The sequence below is a fragment of the Homo sapiens genome, chromosome 2 (assembly GCF_000001405.40).
Source record: "Homo sapiens chromosome 2, GRCh38.p14 Primary Assembly".
NCBI classification, from domain to species: domain Eukaryota; kingdom Metazoa; phylum Chordata; class Mammalia; order Primates; family Hominidae; genus Homo; species Homo sapiens.
In genome coordinates, this window is record NC_000002.12 from 234,976,068 (window position 1) to 234,996,006 (window position 19,939).

Sequence of the window (19,939 nt, forward strand, 5' to 3'; positions counted from 1 at the left end):
TCTGTGCCGAGTTTGGCACCAGGGATGATGTGTGTGGTTGTATCTTCTAGGGACAGGGGCCCTGGCTTTCATCTAGTGACCCCTGTGGAGGACTCCTGCGGATTCCCCATCTACCCATGAAGAGCGGCTCCTGCGGGGTGGCCCGGGTTACCCCAGCAGCAGCCCACCTGGCCAGGTTTGAAGGGCTTGGGCAGGACAGGTGGTATCTGGGCCCTTCTCCTAAAAATTGCCTTTTTATAAATGCAGGCCAGGCTGTCACCTTTATTTATTTATTCATTCAGTCACTTAGATTTTAAACTTGTGTTGACCTTATAGTCAACTGATAGTTCTGAGTAGTTAAGTTAGATCCTTAGGGGGTGACAGGGCCGGTGTGTACCAGGTTAAGGTCTCTCTTGCATTTTGTGGGTGGCTGCCTGCAGTTAAGCAGGGCTACCGTCTCTCGGCCCGGGGCTTCTTGTTTCATGATAAATACAGAAGCCGATGTTTACCCGCCTCTGGTAGCGGACATAGGGGCATCTCTGAGCAGAGCAAGCAGGGGCCTGCGGAAGGGGTTAAGAGGGGCTGGGCAGGTGACCAAGGTCACCATGGCAGGGATAAGTCACGCTGATGGCATTGTGTGGCAAGAAGGACACCTGCCTCTGGTCTTCCTCTCAGTAACACACAACCCAGTCTAACTGGGAGAAAAACCCCCAGCCGAGGGGCGTCTTACAGAATACCTAACCAGGCCTCCTCTACTGTCAAGGTCACCCAAAACACACAATGTCTGGGGAGATGCCCTAGCCAAGAGGAGCTTAAAGAGACACGACACCTAATGTCATGTGGTGATCTGGATGGGATCCTGGAACAGAAAAAAAGGACCTCAGGGACAAACATAGGAGACCCGGATGAAGGACAGGCTTTATTGTTTGATGATAGTGCACCGACATCCATTGTGACAAAGGTGCCGTCCTCCTGTAAGACACTCACAGGGAAGCCGGGTGGCGGGAGGCCTGTGGGAATTCTCTGTATTATCTCCACGACTTTTCTATGAATTTAAATCTATCCTAAAAGAAAAAGCTTATTTAAGAAAATAGGTAAGAGTGGTTAGGAAGGCTGGTTGGAGGCTGGGGTTCCAGGCCTGACCCTCTGCACCCGTGTCTGCTTCAGGCAGGTGACACTGGGCACCTCCTGCCGGGGAGAAGCTCAGGGTCCCCATTTCCTGGCCGGGAACTTCCCTTTCCTACAGACCCTCGCTTGGTGCGCCATGGCAGCTGGGCCCAGGCCTCCCAGTTGGGCCGAGGCCCATCTCTTTTCCCAACAGCACATCCTTTGTTCTCTCCAGCCCAGACGTGTAGAGGTGAGCCACCCTCCTGGCCAGTGAGGAGCTTCTAAACACGGAGGCAGATCAGCTTTTTGCCGAGTGAACTTGAGAACCGGAGCAGAGCTGCAGGGACAATGGTGCATTATTAAACTGCTCTGAAACTCAGAGCCCAGAGCACCCAGCTCTGGGGCGACTGGCAGGTGTTGGACCTGTGGCCGTGGTGCCAGCCCCCACTAATCCCATTAGCGACTTAGGGGTGAGTGGATGGAAAACAGGATGAGAGTGTCTCTCCCCCAAAGAGGGCTGGTTCAAGTATGAATATTCACAGCCACACCGAGGCACCTGCTCCGTAGATGATTTTTTTTTGCTTATGCAGTTAGTGCACAGAGTGAGCCCTGCGCTGGGAAAGACACGCACACGCATATGCACACACATGGGCACACACACACATGCGTGCACACACACGCAGACCCTGAGACCCTGCACTTGAGTTTCTAGTCTTAAGCAAGAAGGGTGTCACCGAGGTTGTGTCCTGCAGCTGCTAGTGGCCAGTCTGTCCCACTTGGATGGTCTGTTTCTATTTTATTTTATTTTTTACTTTTTTTGAGACAGAGTTTGGCTCTTGTTGGCCAGGCTGGAGTGCAGTGGCGCCATCTCTGCTCACTGCAACCTCTGCCTCCTGGGTTTAAGCAATTCTCCTGCCTCAGCCTCCCGAGTAGCTGGGATTACAGGCATGCGCCACCATGCCGGCTAATTTTTGTATTTTTTAGTAGAGAAGGGGTTTCACCATGTTGGCCAGGCTGGAATCGAACTCCCGACCTCAGGTGATCCGCCTGCCTCAGCCTCCCAAAGTGCTGGGATTACAGGCGTGAGCCACCATGCTGGCAGTCTGTTTCTATTTTGGCATTTCCTCACTGCACCTGGAGAAGAGCTTCATTCATTAATTCATCCATTCATTCATTCATTCAACAAGTACCTGACAGCCTGTACAGCAGTGGTGCCAGGTGAGGAGGGTGGGTAAAAATGCAGGGTCCTCCTCACTGCAGTCACTGCGGGACCAGGTACTCTTTTCCTGCGCCCCACACTGCCCCAAGGCCCCACTGGTCATCCGTCCAGCACTCTGTGCTCGCTGACTGGTGCGGTGAACTCTCCGGCTGGGCTCCTTTCCTGCTGCAGGTGCCGCGTCTCTTTCTTAAGCCTGTGTAGAAAGTTCTTTTGTCCGGGTGACATTGGCATGATTGAATCAGTGCCAGAGCCAAACAGGATGTGGTTCTGGGCGACTCCCAACTTCCAGCAAATCCGTGGTTGTTTTCAGTTACCTTAAGAGGGACAACTGAAACAGAGACAAGCACCCCAACAGTAGGGTGCTTCGAGGTCCTGGAGGGGAGCCCTGGCCCTGTGGAGAGAGACCGAGTCGTGCAGCGTCCGTGGCCTGCATTTGAAACTGAAGGGCAAGAGGCTGGTGAGATCCGAGAGTCATGCCGCTGCGTGGAGGAACATGCTGAACCTCTGGAGGAACGGCTCTACCTCCAGGTCAGGCTGGAGGCTTTTGCATTTGGTTTGGCGAGGAGAGACAGCAGGATTTCTGGGTGCCGGACATGCTTCTCGGTCAGAGCTGGTGCGTTTCTTTGCAGGGCAAGGTGGAGGCGGGGATGCCAGGGAGGCATCTGCTGCATTTCTTGAGGTTTCACAGGGTGCAGAGCCCCTGTCCTCACTGTTCTGTGGGGTGCTAAGGGAGCAAGCCATGTGGTCCCTGAACTTTGAGTAGATACAGGTAATATTTGAAAATATTTGGGAATGTTTACACAATCACAAAAACAATGAACACTTGTGTAGCCACTACTCAGGCCAAGAAATGGAACTTAACTTTGAAATTCCCTTTGCCCCTCCCAATCCCAGCTTCCAGCTCCCGATCCTCTCCCCTTCCTGCAAAAATGTGTTTATCAGATAAACCTGAAGCATTTGAGGGAGTCCCTGTCCTGAATTTCGCAGTTGTCATTCTCTGCTGTTTTTTAGTTTTATCACATGGGGTTGTGTTTCTAAGCAACATCGTTTGTTTTTGTTTTTAACTTTTATGTACATGGAATCATGCAGTATCTTTTGTGGCTGGCAGACTCTGAGATGGCCTTCAGTGATCCACACCTCCTGGTGTTCACATCCTGTGAAGTCCCCTCCCTTTGGCGTGAGCCGAGCTAGCAACTTGCTTCTAACCAGTAGGATGCATCCAAGTTGATGCTGTGCCTTCCTCCCGTGATTACATTATGTGGGCTTAGAACTTCTTCCTTGACAACAGATGGTCTCCCCTGCTGGCTGTGGTGGAGCAGGCTGCCATATAGAGAGGCCATGTGGCAAGGAACTGAGGGTGGCCTCCCCCGGCAGCCAGCATGCAGTTGAAGCCTCAGTCCCATGGCCACAAGTAACTGGATGCTACAACAAGCAGATGACCCTGGAGGACCCCTCCCCCAGATGACCCTGGAGGACCCCTCCCCAGTCTAGCCTTGAGATGACACCCCAGCCTGGGCCAAGACTTTGATGGCAGCTCTGTGAGAGGCCCTGAAGAAGAGAGTCTCTTCTTTACCAGTTAAGCCACATCTGGATTCCTAACCTACAGAAACTGTGTGATAATAGAAGTCTGTTGTTTGGGGCGATTTGTTACACAGCATTAGGTAGCTAATACATAGTCTTGCAAGAGTTCGTTTTTTGGCTGAGCATTATGTTCTTGAGGTTCATCTGTGTTGATACCTGTAGTTGTAGTTCATCTGTTTTCATTACTATGTGCCTTTCCCCTGTAAGTAGTCCCCCCCTTATCTGCAGGGGATACAGGGCCCCCAGAAGGTGCCTGAAACTTCAGATAGTACCAAACCCTGTATGTACTATTTATTTTTTCCTATGTATACATGCCTATGAGAAAGTTTAGTTTGTAAATTAGGCACACTGAGAGATGAACAATAATGAATAATAAAATAGAACAATTATAGCACTATATTGTAATAAAAGTTGTGTGAATGTGTTTTCTCCCTGCCAGAATATCTTATTGTACTGTAGCACCTGTTTTGGGACCACAGTTGGCCAGGGGTAACTGAAACCATGGAAACTTGGGGTGAGGGGGGACTGCTGTATGTTAATGCCTTAGCTTAATTATTCTTTCTGCTCCTAAAGGACAATAGGTTGTTTACAGCCTTTGCTATCAAAAACCACACTTGCTGTGAAGGTCTTTGTACATGACTTCCAGCTCAGCGTGCAAATGTTTATCTAGGGAGTGCGGCTGGGCCTTGGCTGCCAGTCCAGCTCCACTTCCCACAGCAGCCTTCAGGTTCGCCCAGGCTCCTCCGCATGCTCCCCTCCCTCAATATTGTCCGCCTTTTTTTCACTTGGGGGGATGGTCTGATGGGTGTGAGATGGTATCTGAGTGTTTTTATGTTCTGCCAGAAGCTAATGTTCACTGACCATTCTGATTTCCTCCCATGCGGAAATCCTTTTTGTGGTTTTTGCCCGTTTTTCTTACTGAATTGTAGGAGTGCTTTTCGTTTTTGTTTTTTTGAGACAGGGTCTCACTGTGTCGCCCAGGCTGGAGTGCAGTGGCGCACAAGCTCTGCCCACTGCAACCTCCGCCTCCTGGGTAGCTGGGATTACAGCCTTGTGCCACCATGCCTGGCTAATTGTAGGAGTGCTTTGAATTTTCTGGAAAATAAGCCTCTCTTAGTTACGAGCATTGCAGACACTGCATCCCGGTTTGTCCCTTGCCCTCATGGGCTTTTAAAATCAAATCAGGCACAATTCTGAATTTTTCTGTCCCGGGAGGATAATTTGCAGAATTACACTTTTGCGGCATTCCTAGTCCTGGCCTGTGTGTCCTGGTCTTTGGGTCATGGACTGGTGCCTGTGGACTCGGCCCCTGTTTATCGCTCTTGCTTGATGCTGCCTTCCTGAGGTGGAGACTGCTGGGCTCTGTTCCCGTCTGTGGCTCCCCCTCTAGTCTGGGAGTGCTTTCCTGTTCAGATAGCTCATTCCAACCTCTTAGTCACTTTGGAGAGCCTCGTTCAGTGAGTCAGCACGGGACCTGGAGCTCGGGGACCCCTCACAGCCAGGCCAGTGCACACTTGGAATCTGCAGTTTGTCTTAGGCCCCTGAAGGTGATTGCTTGACCGCAGAGGAATGCACGGGTCTGGGGAGAATTTGCCCAGCGTGTTTAGAAGGAATGCATTCCTGGAGAAAGTTAAAATTAGAAAAAGCTGCTACATTTCCTGCCATTCAGTCGCAGTTGGCTGGTGTTTGTTTGCACAAGGATTCTTTGGTAACAATCTGCAGTCGGTTTCTGGCGGAATGTGAGGTGAAGTCACGACTGACTTTCGGGATGGAGGTGAGCGGTTTCCACAGGGATCTTTGTTGTGGGAGTGACTGCTTTGTTTTCCGAGTTGTTGCAGAATCATACCGGAGTGGAAAAATATTACCGAAACAATCCCTTGTTGATAGTTAGCAAGAAGATTATTTTATTTATTCTAGAAAACAGCTCTTTAGTGGGAAGCAAATATCGTGGAGCGCATCTCTTTGTAAGCTCGGCTGCCATTTTCCCGTCCCCGCCTCCTTCCTGGGTGGCCACCTCTGATGTCGCCTCCTGAGGCTGGGCTTTTTGGGAAACTCCCTCTGACTGGCACAGGCAGTGGGGTCCAGGTTGAGCAAATACAAATGCAGAATACCCGGGTCCATTTGAATATCCGGGGTAATGTACACTAAAACATTATTAGTTGTGCACCTGAAAATTCGATGTAACCGGCTGTTCTGGGTTTTGTCTAGAGACCTCTCCCGGCCCAGCTACACTTTGAAGCCCGCTCTGTCCTGGTCTCTGGTGGTGCCTGGGCCTCTCCCAGCTGAGCGGGGCATCGCTGGCACCAGGTGGGCTATTGGCACCAGTGGGCACACCTGTGGCTTTGCAGGGTTTTGTCCACTTCTGTGTTGGTGCCCTCCGCCTGCTGGTGCTGGGCTGGGGTCGTGTGCCCACTTTATGGAGGCGGAATGGAGAGGCCGGAGGGTTACCAGCCTGTCCAGTAGTGTGCAGCTCGTAAATGGAACTGTTAGTCTATAGGTCTCAAAGCCCAGCAGCTGGAGGGCACAGGAGAAATTAAACCATCTTCTTCCCTGGGGAGCAAAAAAAGATGGTCAGAAACTCACGCACAGGGAGGAAGTGCTGTGGGGCTGAGAGTCTGGGTGGCAGGTGGGCTATCCCCGAGACCTGGGAACACAGGCTGCGGGGAAGCCTCAGTGTGGGGCTTGAGGGAGAGGCAGTTTTTGCACAGGCAGGGAGGGGACCAAGGAGGCATTCCCTAGTCACAGGGGCAGTGGGCAAATGGGAGGAGGTGGGATATGTATAGGGGAGTTTGAGGGTGGGGCCGCTGACCTGGCTGGAGTGACCAGTGGATGCCATGGAGTCTGTCCACGTGGGGTAGGGCAAACTGCAGAGAACCCCGAAATGGGGCAGGGAAGCCTGGCTCCAAGGGAGGAAGAGGCAGGAAGGAGCAGGCACCCTGTGCTCTTGAGCCGGGGATAATACAATGATGATGAGGCAGTGGGGCTGTAAATTTGGTGGAGAGATGCAGCTGAGACCAGCGGGGAGGTGGTGGATCGGTGGACCTGAGACCAAACTGCCGATTACAGGTGCTTGGGAAGCTTCCTTTTCTGTTCAGGCAGCAGGTGCTATTGATGCAGCTGCTGCTGAGCACTAGTGCAGGCCTAGGGGCTGGGTGGGGATACAGAAGTGAGCAGGACAGGTGGGTTCCTGCCCGCAGGCCATACAGGCCAACTTGCGAAACACCCGGGTGCCAATTACCCAGGGCACTCCACACAGCCCGTTCAAGGTGCTTCTTGTTTTTGTCCCCAGATTTGTGCTTGAGAAGCTCTGAGTTCCCGTCTGTCCACCTGCATTGGCATATGGGTACTCTATAAATCATCCATCCATTCAAACATTGGCTGACTGCACCTGCTATGTTCCAGGTTGTTCCTGGTGAACAGGACAAAGTCCTTGCATTCATGGAGCCTGTTCTGGTGGGAGAAAAAGGAGAGAAGTAAATGACAGATACAAGAATGTCAAGAGCGGTGGACGAGACCAGGGGAGGGAGTGGGCAGCAATGGTGTGCTTGTGTTTTTGATACGGTGTGGTCGGCTGAGTAATCCCTTCCACAAAAAACATATTTCTATCCTAATGCTCAGAACCTGTAGGTGTTACCTTATTTGGCAAAAGGGACTTTGCAGGTGTGATTCATTGAAGGCTCTTGAGATGGTGAGATACCCTGGATTACCCAGATGGACCCTAAATGTTATCACGGGTCTTTTAAGAGGGAAATGGAGATCTTACCACAGCAGGAGGCCCTGGAATGGTGGGAGCAGAGACTGGAGTCCCGAGCTTTGAAGATGGTGGAGGGGCCCTGAGCCAGGAATCCAGGCAGCCACGGGATGCAGGAAAGGGCAGGGCCACAGAAGCAGCTCACCCCCTCGGAGCCTCCAGAAGGCACTGGCCCTGTCGTCAGCCCAGTGGGCCTGGTTTCAGATTTCCAGCCTCCAGAACTGTTGGAGAGTCAATGTGTGTTTTAAGCCACTAAGTTTGTGGTAGTTTGTTACAACATCGATAGGAAAGTCACGCAGGGTTCTGCGGCTTTGAGGGAGTTACGTTTGAGCAGAGCCATCTGAGGTTGGGGCTGGGCTTCCCTGCTGACACGTGGGCTGGGGCCACAGAGCCTGAACCAGGATCCAGGCCTAGCTAAGGGTCAGGAATCCCTGCTCTGGCAGTTGTCCTCAGCCTGGAAGTGACCCACAGGGCATATACACGTGTATGAGTTTTCGTTTGTTTGTTTGTTTGGTGCGGGGCAGGGTCTCATTCTGTCTCCAGGCTGGAGTGCAGTGGTGCAATCATGGCTCACTGCAACCTCGACCTCTGGGCTCAAGTGATCCTCCCACCCCAGCCTCCTGAGTAGCTGGGACTGCAGGCACACATCACCATGCCTGGCTAATTTTTTTTTTTTTAACTTTTTGTAGAGACGAAGTCTTGCTGTATTGCCCGGGCTGGTCTCAAACTCCTGGGCTCAAGCAATCCCCCTGCTTTGGCTGTCCAAGGTGTAGAAATTACAGGCATGAGCCACTAAGCCCTGTCCTTTTCAGTGTAAAAATGTCAGATGAGGAATCAATCCCCTTTGCTGAGTATAAGTGTATCTTATTAACAGAAGAAAATATTTGCTTGGCTTTCTAAATTGGGAATTTCTAACAATCCGTAACAGCCCACTGGCTTTGACCAGAACCGACTGAGTGCTCAGGACCAGAACCGACCGAGTCCTCAGTTACATCACTCAGCTGAGTGCCTGTGTCGTGGACAGAAAACCCAGTGGTCTAGCACCATTTACCATCTGTCCTGGTTTACAACCCCTGAAAGCAGAGCCTGAGACAAGGACTTGGGTGCTGATGTTTTCGGGGAGATGACTGGTCCCAGCAGTCCATCCAAATAGAAGAGGGTGAGAAGAGGGAAGAGGAAAAGCTAATCGGGGGTCAGCTACTGAGCTAGTGGCCACTGTTAACCAACTATTAGGGCTCCATCATGCTGGAGACGCATTTGAGGAGCCATGAGACTATGCCCTAGAATTGTCTTTCTGGAGGCCAGGAGGCGGGGGCGTCGACCCCAGGGCAGCCCTGGGGGCTATATGTCTGCAGCGCATCCTCCATCCTGCAGGCTGACCCGGGCTTGGGGCTGTGGTGTGCTGGGATAGCGGAGCACCTGCAGATCACACCCCCTATTTGGAGAATATCTTGACAGCGCAGCAACAGAGTAGTGAGTGTACAAAGATCTACTATAGCTGGCCTTCACTTCCACGAAGTCCTCACTTTGTGGCTGTCCCCTGGGAGTCATAAGAAAGGCACATAGTTTAGCTCCATCCACCAAGATTTGAGTCACCTGCCAACATCTGCCTTAATGACTTCACAGACAGTCATTGTGGCGGAAGCTGTTTAGAAGAATATGGGAGAAAGTCAAAAGTGTGCGTGAATGAAGGGGAATGAAGTGGGAAAACGCATCTCACCTGCATACACATTTTTGACTCTTGTGCACAAGCATTTTTGACCCTCTGTGCACAGCTGTTTTTGACACTTGTGCATAAGCATTTTAGACCCAATGCACACAGTCGTTTTTCACTCTCTGTGCACAGGTGTTTTTGACCTTCTGTGTGCAGGCATTTTGACTCTCCGCGCACAGGTATTTTTGACCCTCTGCGCACAGATATTTTTGACCCTCTGCGCACAGGTGTTTTGACTGTCTGTTTGTAGCATCCTCCCTTGATGTATGTTCGGGTGAAGCAGCCCTCGATGCACACCTATGAGCTCAGGGACTGTGCGCAGGTGAACCAGCCTGTGACACACGCCTACGAGCTCAAGGAGCACGGTGCAGGTGAACCAGCCTGTGACACACGCCTACGAGCTCAAGGAGCATGATGCAGGTGAACCAGCCCTGGATACACGCCTATGAGCTCAGGGTCCATGTGCAGGTGAACCAGCCCTCGACACACACCTACGAGAACAGGGACCATGTGCAGGTGAACCAGCCCTTGATATACATCTATGAGCGCAGAGACCACAGTGCAGGTGAACCAGCCTCTGACACTCATCTACGAGAATAGGGTCCACGTGCAGGTGTACCAGCCCTTGATATACACCTATGAGCTCAGGGTCCATGTGCAGGTGAACCAGCCCTTGACACAAACCTATGAGCTCAGGGTCCATGTGCAGGTGAACCAGCCCTCCACTCACACCTATGAGCACAGAGACCATGGTGCAGGCGTTATCTCTCTTATTCATGAGGAGGCCCAGTCATTCCCTCCCTACCCTGAGTTGAGGAGGAAGGATAAGACTTAACTGTGGTCCCAGCATTTAGTGGCAGAGCCAGGATTTGAGTCCATATTTAAATAAGGTCCAAGTCTTCAACATACTGATGTTTCCCAGATATTTTCAGCCTCCTAAAGGTTTATTAGGGGGACAAAACTCTTTCAAGACTCCGTCACAAACATTCGTAGTCTGATTCAGGCAGGAATGTTAACTTCTACTTTCAAAGACTTGTGATTTTATAACCTGCCATGGGAAAAGGAAATGCAGGATTGGAGCCTGGTCTGGAATCTTACACCCTCACTTGTCCACGTCCTGTCTTACTGCAGCCTGTGTGGTCTTGGGATTGTTCTGTTTGTGTTTGTCGTTACTCTGCATATCATGGCTGGTGGCTTTGGGTTAGGATCCCAGCTTTTCACTTCCTGATCTCGGGTGAGTCTTTGAAACCTGGTCAGCCTCAGTTCTCTTATCTGCTAAATGATGGCATGATGATACCTGTCTGGCCTACCTCATAGGGTTGTGAAAAGCGACCGAGAGGCCAGATGGGAAAGTATGTTATCAACTAGGATACATTATGCTAATGATTTTATTTTTTTTTTTTTTGATGAAGTTTCACTCTTGTTGTCCAGGCTGGAGTGCAATGGCTCAATCTTGGCTTGCTGCAACCTCAGCCCCCCAAGTAGCTGGGATTACAGGCATGTGCCTCCATGCCCGGCTAATTTTTTGTATTTAGTAGAGATGAGGTTTCACCATGTTGGTCAGGCTGGTCTCTAACTCCTGACCTCAAGGGATCCACCCGTCTTGGCCTCCCAAATTGCTTGGATTACAGGCATGAGCCACCCCGCCCGGCCTGCTAATGGTTTTCAGAGGCAGCATCAACATCAGCTGGGAGCATGTTAGAAATGCACATTCTCAGGCCCACCCCAGACCTACAGAATCAGAAACTGAGCGTTGTTGGGCCCAGCAACCTGTGTTGTAATCAGCCCTCCAGGTAATTCCAGTGAATGCTGGCGTTTGAGAACTACTGCCTTAGTCACAGAATTTCACGGGTGTTGTATGCAATTTCTACTATGTATTTGGCACTCAGTGTCTGGTATATTTCAAAGAAAAAAAAAAAAGACAGGGTCCCTGCCCTCAACATGGTCTACAGGCTGGAAGAAAAATTAAAGCAAGAGAAACCCACATGAACTTGATGTACGTTAGAGCCCCATGTTACAGTTGAGGAAAACGAGGCCCAGGAAAGATGAGTCATTTAGCAAAGGTCGTGGAGCTGGTGTGAGAAACGTGAACCCACATGTTTGACTTATGACAATCTCCAGACCCTTCATTCCCCAGGCCGCCTCCCCCCAACATGGGCGGCTCATGGTGTCCCCCCACTTATTCATGCGAGAGAGTTCCGAGGTCAGAATCAAAGCCTAGGACGCCTTCCTTGAGACACTCTCCTTGGCTTGCTTTTAGGTGGTGATTTTCGAAACCTTGGATTAAAACCTTCACCCCCCACAGCCACAGTAGAGTCCAGAATGATGAACTAGATCTTGTGAGGCTCCAGAAGTGATTGGGCAGTGAGTTGAAAAAGTCAAAGTCTAGAAGAATCATTAAAAATACAAGGAAAAGCCGAGTGTGCATGGGTCTTCCAGTCTTTCTGTTGGGTGCAGGTCTTTTCTGAGTGTGGGTTTGGCCATGGTGTCTCCTGTGTAACCCACATGCATGATGACATCATTGATTTCCAGTCCAAGATGGCGCCATGACACAGGGACACTGGTGAAGCCATCCATGCCCAGAGTTCTCCTAGAGTTGACTGCATTTTCCTCAGGTGTTTAATGTCATTTAGCTTGCCAGCCACATTTTTTTTTCTTTGAGTCAGAGTCTCACTCTGTCGCCCAGGCTGGAGTGCGGTGGTGTAATCCCGCCTCACTGCATCCTTCGCCTCCCGGGTTCAAGCAATTCTCCTGCCTCAGCCTCCCAAGTAGCTGGGACTATGGGCGCCCACCACCACGCCTGGCTAATTTTTTGTATTTTTAGTAGAGACAGGGTTTCACCGTGTTAGCCAGGATAGTCTTGATCTCCTGACCTCATGATCTGCCCACCTTGGCCTCCCAAAGTGCTGGGATTACAGGCGTGAGCCACCACACCCGGCCCGCCAGCCACGTTTTTAAGTGATTCACCTTTAGCGAGTCTTTCTGAAACATTTCACTTGAATTGCCAAGGGAGCTGCCCTTGTCTCACCCCTGGCCATCAGTTTATGTAGTAATTAAATATGTAAAATTTCCACAACAAGGACCCCAGCTCCAGCCAGGGGAGCAGAGCCCAAAGGGGAATGAGAAAGTAGTCTTCCGGCCACACAGGTGTAGTGGGCCCTGTGTCTCATTGTCCTCCCGTCTTCACACTCAAAGGCAGGGGGCCTCCGCCTCCTCCACCGCCCTGCCAGGGAGGGAGGGCGTTCAGAGAAGGCAGCCACTCGGTGCTGCGCGGGTGCCAGGAGGAGCTCACGGTGTGTAGGGGGGACGCATGAACAGGTGAACAAAGCCGTTGCGGGTGCTGGGTGGGTGGTTGTCTCAACGCCCCTCCTCCATTTTTATGCTTAGTATTCATTCTAGGTTTAACACAGGAGAGAGGAAGGTTATATCCCATTCCGTATCACATTCTCTGTAAAATTGGAAATTTTATGTAATTACAGGAAGGGTAAGTGAAGCAGTTCTGTGTTCTGCATAAGAAAATGTAACATCCATCAGGTGAGATTTCAGGCCCTCTCACTTGGCTGCTTCATCCATCTGTTGCCCAAATACGTTGTCAGTGTGTAAGTTTTAATAGTGTTGATTTTGATAGCATGAAGTAGAAAGGCTTTTGTCCATCTATCAGAGTGTCGCTTTCTCAGTTCTGTAAATTGGTTGTCTCGGAGTGGAATGATCTGCCCTCATAGAGAATGAAAAACCTGGGGTTGGGTCCATGGCCAGGCCATGAAGTCTCTGTGTAGTCTTGGACGTGCCGTGCATGAGGACTGATTGTGCGAACCCGAAGCTGTAGGAGGATGGCGTCACTGTGCTGCCAGAGCGGGGCCAGAGATGCCTCCCCTCTTTTTGAGGTTGGAGCCAGCTCTAGAAAGAAACCTTGAAATGGATGTTGGGCCCGTTCCCGTCTCCCTTTCTGACCACACCTACGTCTGCTTTTCTTTCCTTCCCTCTTGCCATCTCCTACCCTAGCTGGTCTCTTGGCAAACACTCCTGGCATGCAGCCATGTACCCGGGTGAATGCCCACTTCCGTTTGGCCTGAGCCTACATCCCGCCTGGCCCTTTGCCCACTGCGTAAGTAGGAAGGGTAGAGAACAGGGCTTGGCACACTTTTCTCTGTAAAAAGCCAGAGAGTAACTATTTTCCACCTTGTGGGCCATAAGGTCTGTGTCACAGCTCCACTGTTTTGGTTGCACAGAAGAGCTATTGATAAACTGGTGGGGCTGGGCTCTGTGCAACTTAGGTAAGGACACTGCGACTTAAATTTCTTATCATTTTCACGTCGTGAAATATTACTCTTTTTATTTTCCCCCCAACTGTTTAAAAATAGAAAGACGTTCTTTGTTCATGGGCCATACAAAGATAGGTGGCCAGGTTGGATTTGGCCCGCGGGCTGTAGTTTGCCTCTGGGTTGGACAAGAATTTTCAGGGTGAACACCCCTCATCCAAAAATTTGAAATCCAAAATGCTGCAAACTCTGAAACTTTTTCAGCACCAACGTGATGCCACAAGTGGAAAATTTCTCACCTAATCTCACATGACAGGTTGCAGTCAAAACTCCAGAACAAAATTATGTAAAATGTTGTATAAAATCACCTTTGGACTATGTGTATAAGGTACGGATGAAACATAAATGAATTTAGTGTTTAGACTGGGGTCCCATCTGCAAGATATCTCATTGTGTATGTGCAGATGTTCCAAAATCTGAAATCCAAAGCACTTCTCGTCCCAGGGATTTTGGATAAATGGTACTCAGCGTGTATTTAGTTCTACTTTGTAGTTTGGTTCTACTGACTGGCTCTGATGTATGGTGGTGGGTGAGGCTGGAGCGACCCCAGTCATCCAGCTGTCGGGGATGCAGGCTGTAGAGGCTCTTCTGGCCGATGGCTCCATTGATGTCCACTGTGGAGGCTTAAAAAATCTAAGAAATAGGCTTACACGTTTTCCAGTTTACTCAACACCAGCCTAACATTGCTTCACCTCAACCCTTCAAGAATGTGTCCCATAACTAAGTGGGTTGGACTTTTGGGCCCATACCTGAAGTTGTTGGAACAAAATTAGTTTTGTGTGTTCCTGCATATTCCCTGGGAACTCATGCGGGTCTGGCCCTGAAAGACTCAGCTCTGCAGCGTGGACCAGCTCTTGGTGTGGTCAGCACAGGCCAGCCTGTAGGTTGAGTTGGGTGAAGAGTTCACGGAGCATTTTCAGATCTGTCACTCCCTCAGCAACCTCTGAGATGGGCAGAGCCGTGAGAATTACTTTGACGGGGCTGTTGTCAATGAACCACAAACTGCTGGGTGGTTTGCACAGTGGAAAAGGATTGTCTTACAGGTCAGGAGGCTGGAAGTCCAAGATGAGTGTCAGCAGGGCTGGTTCCTTCTGAGGCTGAGGGAGAATCAGTTCCAGCCCTTTCTCCCTTAGCATCTGGGGGTTTGCAGGTAGCTGTTGGCTTGTAGAAGCCTCACCCCCCATCTTAGTCATCCTGTCACCTGTCCCTCTCTGTGTGCATGTCTGTTGAAACTCCCCCCTTTTATAAAGTCACTGGGTCATATTGGACTGGGGCCCACCCTGGTAATCTCACTTTAGCTTGATTGCACCTTGAACACTCTGTCTCCAAATAAGGTCACTTTCTGAGGTACTGGTGATGCATACAAATTTGGGGGGATGCAATTCCATCTATACCATTGGGAAATGGGGTGAATAGCTGTCTTGGTGACTGTCCTGGAATGAGGATTTAGGACACAGTGGTCATCTCTGTGTGTGAATATAGCTTCCTGTTTGGATGTGGTAGGGTGAGGACCATGAGCCTCATATCATTTATCCACTCACCCTCCCAGACCCTCTGAGGTGGGATCAACTCTCTGCAGATTTGTCATCAGCTGAGACTGTCAACCATTGTTAAAACAGCTACTCAGATGGACAGAGTGACATAACTGCCCTTCTCTCTGCACCGTGGGAGAAGACACTTGTGTTTTGAGCTGCTGAAGACAACAGAATCTTGTCTTCTTGGCATTGTGGTTTTTGGAGATTTGCCCCAAATCATGGTTAATGACAACACTGATGTTTCTTGAAACAACTGGAGAATAAGGCATCCTCTAGACTTTCTGCTAATTCCATCCACCCACGCTAAACCGTGTGGTTTTCTTGGGGCCCCTGAAGACTGACGGGTCCACACTGGTGTCTGGTGGTGCCCACAGGAGAACAGTGCTTGACTGAAAGATCGTACCCCCCTCTTCTCAGCAAGGCGGTCCTTGTCCAGAGGCCTTGGGCCTCTGGAGAGGTTGATCAGGAGTTGGGGAAGTGGAAAGGGGCCAGCGGTCTTGTCCACTGAATCCATCCACTGGGACCTCCCGGACATGACAAGCCAGATTCTCTCCTCCCTCCACTCCAGCACTGAGGGGCTAGTGGTGCCACATGTGCACCTGTCCCTGCCCAGGGTCCAGTTCTGGCGTCTCTGAGCCCCCTGTCAGGGCAGCTGGGTCCCCCCATACTTAGGCATGAGGTATGAGTTTACCCAATCATCCCCCTGTCCAGGGAGCCTGCCGGGCTCAGCTTCAGGACCACAAGGCTGTTAAGTAAAGACGCTGCCTAAAGAACCTGCCAGAAGGAAAGCTCCAGAGGGCTTGCAGGGCCCTTATCCAAAAATGTGAAAATAATCAGTGCTGAAAGCCACAGTGACGGAGGGTGTTGTCAGCGCAGCCTCTCTTTAAATAGAGAAAGGAGCACAGCAGCTTTTTGGAGTTGGGGCGAGGTGGCATCTGGAGTTTCCAGCGAAGATTTATTTTGTGCCTTGGGGGGCAGGAGCTGGGCAGCCTGGGGAGGGCTGGGCAGCAGCGAGGATGGCGAGGCTGAGGCCCTGGACCACATGCAGGTCGTTTTCTTCGGGGTGGCTGGAGGGCGGCTCTCCAGGCAGCTCCATGGCCTCAGTAGCCCCCATGACCAAGTGGAGTGAAGTGAGCTGGGGGAGGAGTGTCACAAGGAGGAAGGCATTGTGGGCCCCTGGAGATGGATGCGTTCCTGCCATGTAGCTCTGGGTCTGGAGCCCCTGGAGATGGATGCATTCCTGCTGTGTGGCTCTAGGTCTGGAGCCCCTGGAGATGGACACGTTCCTGCTGCGTGTCTCTGGGTCTGGGCAGCACCTGGAGATGGACGCATTCCTGCCGTGTGGCTCTGGGTCTGGAGCCCCTGGAGATGGACGCATTCCTGCTGCGTGGCTCTGGGTCTGGAGACCCTGGAGATGGACGCATTCCTGCTGCGTGGCTCTGGGTCTGGGCAGCACCTGGAGATGGATGCATTCCTGCCATGTGGCTCTGGGTCTGGGCAGCACCTGGAGATGGACACATTCCTGCCGTGTGGCTCTGCATCAGGAGCCCCTAGAGATGGACACGTTCCTGCCGTGTGGCTCTGGGTCTGGGCAGCACCAGGAGATGGACGCGTTCCTGCCACGTGGCTCTGGGTCTGGAGCCCCTGGAGATGGACACATTCCTGCCATGTGGCTCTGGGTCTGGGCAGCACCTGGAGATGGATGTGTTCCTGCCATGTGGGCTCTGGGTCTGGGCAGCACCTGGCAGGCTTTGGAGTAGGCCTTGCCCACAGCCTGGGAGGCTGGGGAGTTCCTGTGAAGGGAGCTGGGTCCTTCTGGGGAGCGCCCGGTGGGGCTTGTTGTCCCTGCCTTGGGCTTGTCTCAGGAAGTGCCCCCGGCAGAGTGAGGAGGCTGAGATGAGCCCCGGGGGTCGGTTTCTCGAAGCCCCCGTCAGAGCTGATGTTCGGGCCACACGTTCTCTTGGGGTGATCCGTTCTGTGTCACTGGACTCGCCCCCCGCCTCATTTCCTCACTGGCCCAGTAGTAACTGCAGCCACTGGAGGCGGATACCCACTGAGGCTGTTCCCATCTGTCCTTTATGACGGCTTGCGATGGACCCGCCTGATGAAGGGGCCCAGCAGTGCCGGTGCCTGCCTAGAATTCAGGATGGAGATTCTGAGAACCCTGACCACGGCATAGGGGCTTGGGGTACAAAGGAAAGAAGAGGCACTAGGTTCTCAGAGATGCTGGTGCAGTGGCTTTTAGAATCAGAAAGAAAAAATGGGAAATGCACGCTCACGGTAGAGGAAATGGGAGAAGTTGCGGAAGTCTGAAAAAGGCAGGGACATATACCATGAAGCCAGCCTCATTCGTAGTTTCACTTCCCCCAGGTTTTTTTCAGTGCCCTTTTATGTCTTTTAAGATGATGAGATTTTCAACTGTTCTGTCTTGACATGACTCTTTGGAGAACGAGTACTTTGAGAGACATTCTGAAGAGCTCTGAGCAACATGGTAGACCCATTTCAAAGGAGAGGGATGGACGGATGGCGGCGTCCTGCCTTCTCTGCCGAGAATGGGGCCGCCTTGTGATTCCTGTCCAGAAAATCAGCTTGGGTGCAGGTGGCTGTGTTGGAGCTGTGGTGGCACCTGCAGTCCCGCCTGTCTCTTCCCACCCTTTGTTTTTGTCTTCTCTGGTTTCAGATCTTTTGTGTTTGTGCATATATTTTGTCACATTGTTGCGGCCTTTTTCGTAGCGTTCATTGATTCTTTTCATTTTGCCTGTGTGATTTTGCACATCGCTTGTACCCTTAGAAGGTCCGTGTCTACGTAGAGATCAACTATACAACCAGATTTTCTATTACCTATTGGGCGGTTTCCTTTCCTCCCTCCCTCTTCCCCTCCACACCCTTCTATTGATCTGGAATTCATTTTGTCTTTGGGTGTGAGTTGAAGCCCTGAGAGGGGGGATCTGTGCTCTGAACACCAGCCAGTTGTCCTAGCATCACAGGGAATGATTCTTTCCTTCTTGGGTGATTGTGACGCTCCTTTTAATTGCATGTTAAATATTTACATGGATGGAGGTCTGTTCTGGGCTGTCTGGTTCCTGCAGAGGATGAGTGGCCATGATTGAGGGAAGGTGTCCAGAAGGAAGTTCCCACTCCTTCTTTCACAGTCTGATGAGGTCCTGGATTCCTCTGAAGGCCCCGGGGCCCACTCTGTTATTCCTGTGGAGGAAGTCAGCCTGAGGGGGAGGGCGTCGTGGTGGCACCTGCAGTTCCGTCTGTCGCATTGATGTTGGCTGGTTCTGCTCTCAAAGGCGCCGGCTCTGTAGTGATGTCAGCGCCGTGTGACTTGAGGAGGAGACCCCACTGCTGCGGTGTGTCTGGGGTTCATCTTCAGGGCGCAGCTGATAAGATGCTTCTGTTGCGCTCACAATGCCAGTCATTGCAGCAGAAGTAATGGCAGGTGATGGGAGACTCATTGTTGGGGTGAGAAAAGGCACAATAAGCTATTGTCACAGGCAGGGCTCCCTGTGAAGCGGAACGTGATGCAGAGGCCACTGGGCAGGACGTTTAGGTTTGCTGGGGAGCACAGCAGCAGGGGAAGAGGACAGTGAGGCTGGGATGCAGCCTCCATGCAGCCTGTCGCTTTCTCCACAGGAGCTCTGGCCTGGGCCAGACTGCCGAGTCACCCTGATTCAGGAGTAGGGTGAGGGGCAGGCTTTGTTACCCCGCGCTAGTCACTGGCCTGGTCATTGGGTGCAGGCTGGCCCAGGAAGGGGGCTGATGTGGCCTCAAAAGGGCTCTTTCCAGTGAGACAGTTCTGGGTGGCCCCCGGTGAAGGTCCTTCCGCTGGCCACTCTCCAGAGTTGGCTTCAGAAGGGGACCTGGGGGCCGCGTGGCAGCGTCCACCACCATCCTCACCTGCTGTGGAAATGCACTGCAGAGCCCGTCTGTCCTCCAGGATGTGAAGGGGCCCTGGCGGGAAGCAGGCCTGAGTTCTGCGCTGGACAGGACTGAAGCTCACTCGTGTTTCCTTCTTGTCTTGCAGCGTCTCCCTTCTCTCCTGGACAGAAGGCCGTGTCCTGGGACTTCTCTGATGGCGAGAGGCTGCGGCTGTACCAGGTAGGCAGTGCAGGCATGGTGTGAGTGGGTTGCCATACCTGGACCCGCTTTACCATGTCATGACCAAGGTGCCGGACTCATGGGGACACAGGCCCCAAACGTGTGCAGAGCAGCTGCAGGAGGGAGAATGCTTCTGGAAGCTTCTGGTGACACTTGACCTTTCTCAGGCACTGCAGGCCTGTCCCTCATGGCGCTCTCCTCCTGTCCTCGAAGCCCACAGTGTTGTCCCCAGTGTGGGAAGGTCATTTGTCATCCTGGCATCCAGAAGCCCGGCCCCGGCGCATTCCCAGAACAGCCCCGTGTTTCTCTTTTCAGCGAATCCACTTTCTGTTGCCACCCGTGGAACGTTCTCACTCTTCCAAGAAGCCAGGCTAGCAGCTCCCCCACCCCAGCAGCCGCGGGACAGAGCCCAGGTTGGGTGGTGTGTACACAAAGGAGGGATTGTTCTCACGTCGCCCTGCGACGAGATGGGGATGGACCCGCGGTTAGAGGTCACCCTCCCTGGGGCGTCAGGGGAGCATTTGTCCTTGAAACACGCTGGCAAAAAATGTTCCAAGGAAGCCTCAGCTGGTGTTTGTGAGGAAGAGCTGGATTAAATGGTGTTCTGGTAAAATGTTCCTGGAGGTTTTC

General features: G+C 51.9%; 1 protein-coding gene and 1 long non-coding RNA gene across 12 annotated transcripts in view, besides 7 other annotated features; one reads left to right on the forward strand and one right to left on the reverse strand.

Annotated features, from left to right (window-relative positions):
- Positions 1–19,939, forward strand: part of SH3BP4 (SH3 domain binding protein 4) — a 103,698-nt gene that overhangs the window by 24,051 nt on the left and 59,708 nt on the right. For 3 of the 10 annotated variants that reach the window (XM_047443849.1, NM_014521.3, NM_001371302.1), the window contains one exon: positions 19,236–19,309. The gene's annotated coding sequence lies outside the window, so the exon portion shown is untranslated. Of the gene's footprint in view, positions 1–2,635; positions 2,919–3,394; positions 5,661–18,772; positions 18,894–19,235; positions 19,310–19,939 lie in introns of those variants that run through there. The other 7 variants (NM_001371303.1, NM_001371304.1, XM_047443851.1 and 4 more) reach the window with 6 other exon arrangements.
- Positions 859–1,411: an enhancer, noted in NCBI's record as "H3K27ac-H3K4me1 hESC enhancer chr2:235885570-235886122 (GRCh37/hg19 assembly coordinates)". NCBI's record gives its function as "activates a minimal SCP1, AML or CMV promoter by ChIP-STARR-seq in primed H9 embryonic stem cells {active_cell/tissue: H9 hESC(primed)}" and the evidence as "EXISTENCE:reporter gene assay evidence [ECO:0000049][PMID:30033119]".
- On the reverse strand, positions 873–2,711 carry LOC105373939 (uncharacterized). 2 transcript variants are annotated; one of them, XR_924008.1, is made up of 3 exons: positions 2,620–2,711; positions 2,277–2,498; positions 873–1,423 (listed from the first exon to the last, which is right to left on the reverse strand). It is a non-coding gene; the product is annotated as an uncharacterized LOC105373939 (long non-coding RNA). The 2 variants fall into 2 exon arrangements; XR_924007.3 differs by lacking the exon at positions 2,620–2,711 and having other exon boundaries at positions 873–1,043; positions 1,228–1,423; positions 2,277–2,491.
- Positions 4,271–5,008: an enhancer, noted in NCBI's record as "H3K27ac-H3K4me1 hESC enhancer chr2:235888982-235889719 (GRCh37/hg19 assembly coordinates)". NCBI's record gives its function as "activates a minimal SCP1, AML or CMV promoter by ChIP-STARR-seq in primed H9 embryonic stem cells {active_cell/tissue: H9 hESC(primed)}" and the evidence as "EXISTENCE:reporter gene assay evidence [ECO:0000049][PMID:30033119]".
- Positions 7,393–8,107: an enhancer, noted in NCBI's record as "H3K27ac-H3K4me1 hESC enhancer chr2:235892104-235892818 (GRCh37/hg19 assembly coordinates)". NCBI's record gives its function as "activates a minimal SCP1, AML or CMV promoter by ChIP-STARR-seq in naive and primed H9 embryonic stem cells {active_cell/tissue: H9 hESC(naive and primed)}" and the evidence as "EXISTENCE:reporter gene assay evidence [ECO:0000049][PMID:30033119]".
- Positions 7,393–8,821: a biological region, named in NCBI's record as "H3K27ac-H3K4me1 hESC enhancers GRCh37_chr2:235892104-235892818 and GRCh37_chr2:235892819-235893532".
- Positions 7,838–8,132: an enhancer, noted in NCBI's record as "tiled region #10474; HepG2 Activating DNase matched - State 5:Enh". NCBI's record gives its function as "activates a minimal TATA promoter and a strong SV40 promoter by Sharpr-MPRA in HepG2 cells {active_cell/tissue: HepG2}" and the evidence as "EXISTENCE:reporter gene assay evidence [ECO:0000049][PMID:27701403]".
- Positions 8,108–8,821: an enhancer, noted in NCBI's record as "H3K27ac-H3K4me1 hESC enhancer chr2:235892819-235893532 (GRCh37/hg19 assembly coordinates)". NCBI's record gives its function as "activates a minimal SCP1, AML or CMV promoter by ChIP-STARR-seq in naive H9 embryonic stem cells {active_cell/tissue: H9 hESC(naive)}" and the evidence as "EXISTENCE:reporter gene assay evidence [ECO:0000049][PMID:30033119]".
- Positions 15,178–15,949: an enhancer, noted in NCBI's record as "H3K27ac-H3K4me1 hESC enhancer chr2:235899889-235900660 (GRCh37/hg19 assembly coordinates)". NCBI's record gives its function as "activates a minimal SCP1, AML or CMV promoter by ChIP-STARR-seq in primed H9 embryonic stem cells {active_cell/tissue: H9 hESC(primed)}" and the evidence as "EXISTENCE:reporter gene assay evidence [ECO:0000049][PMID:30033119]".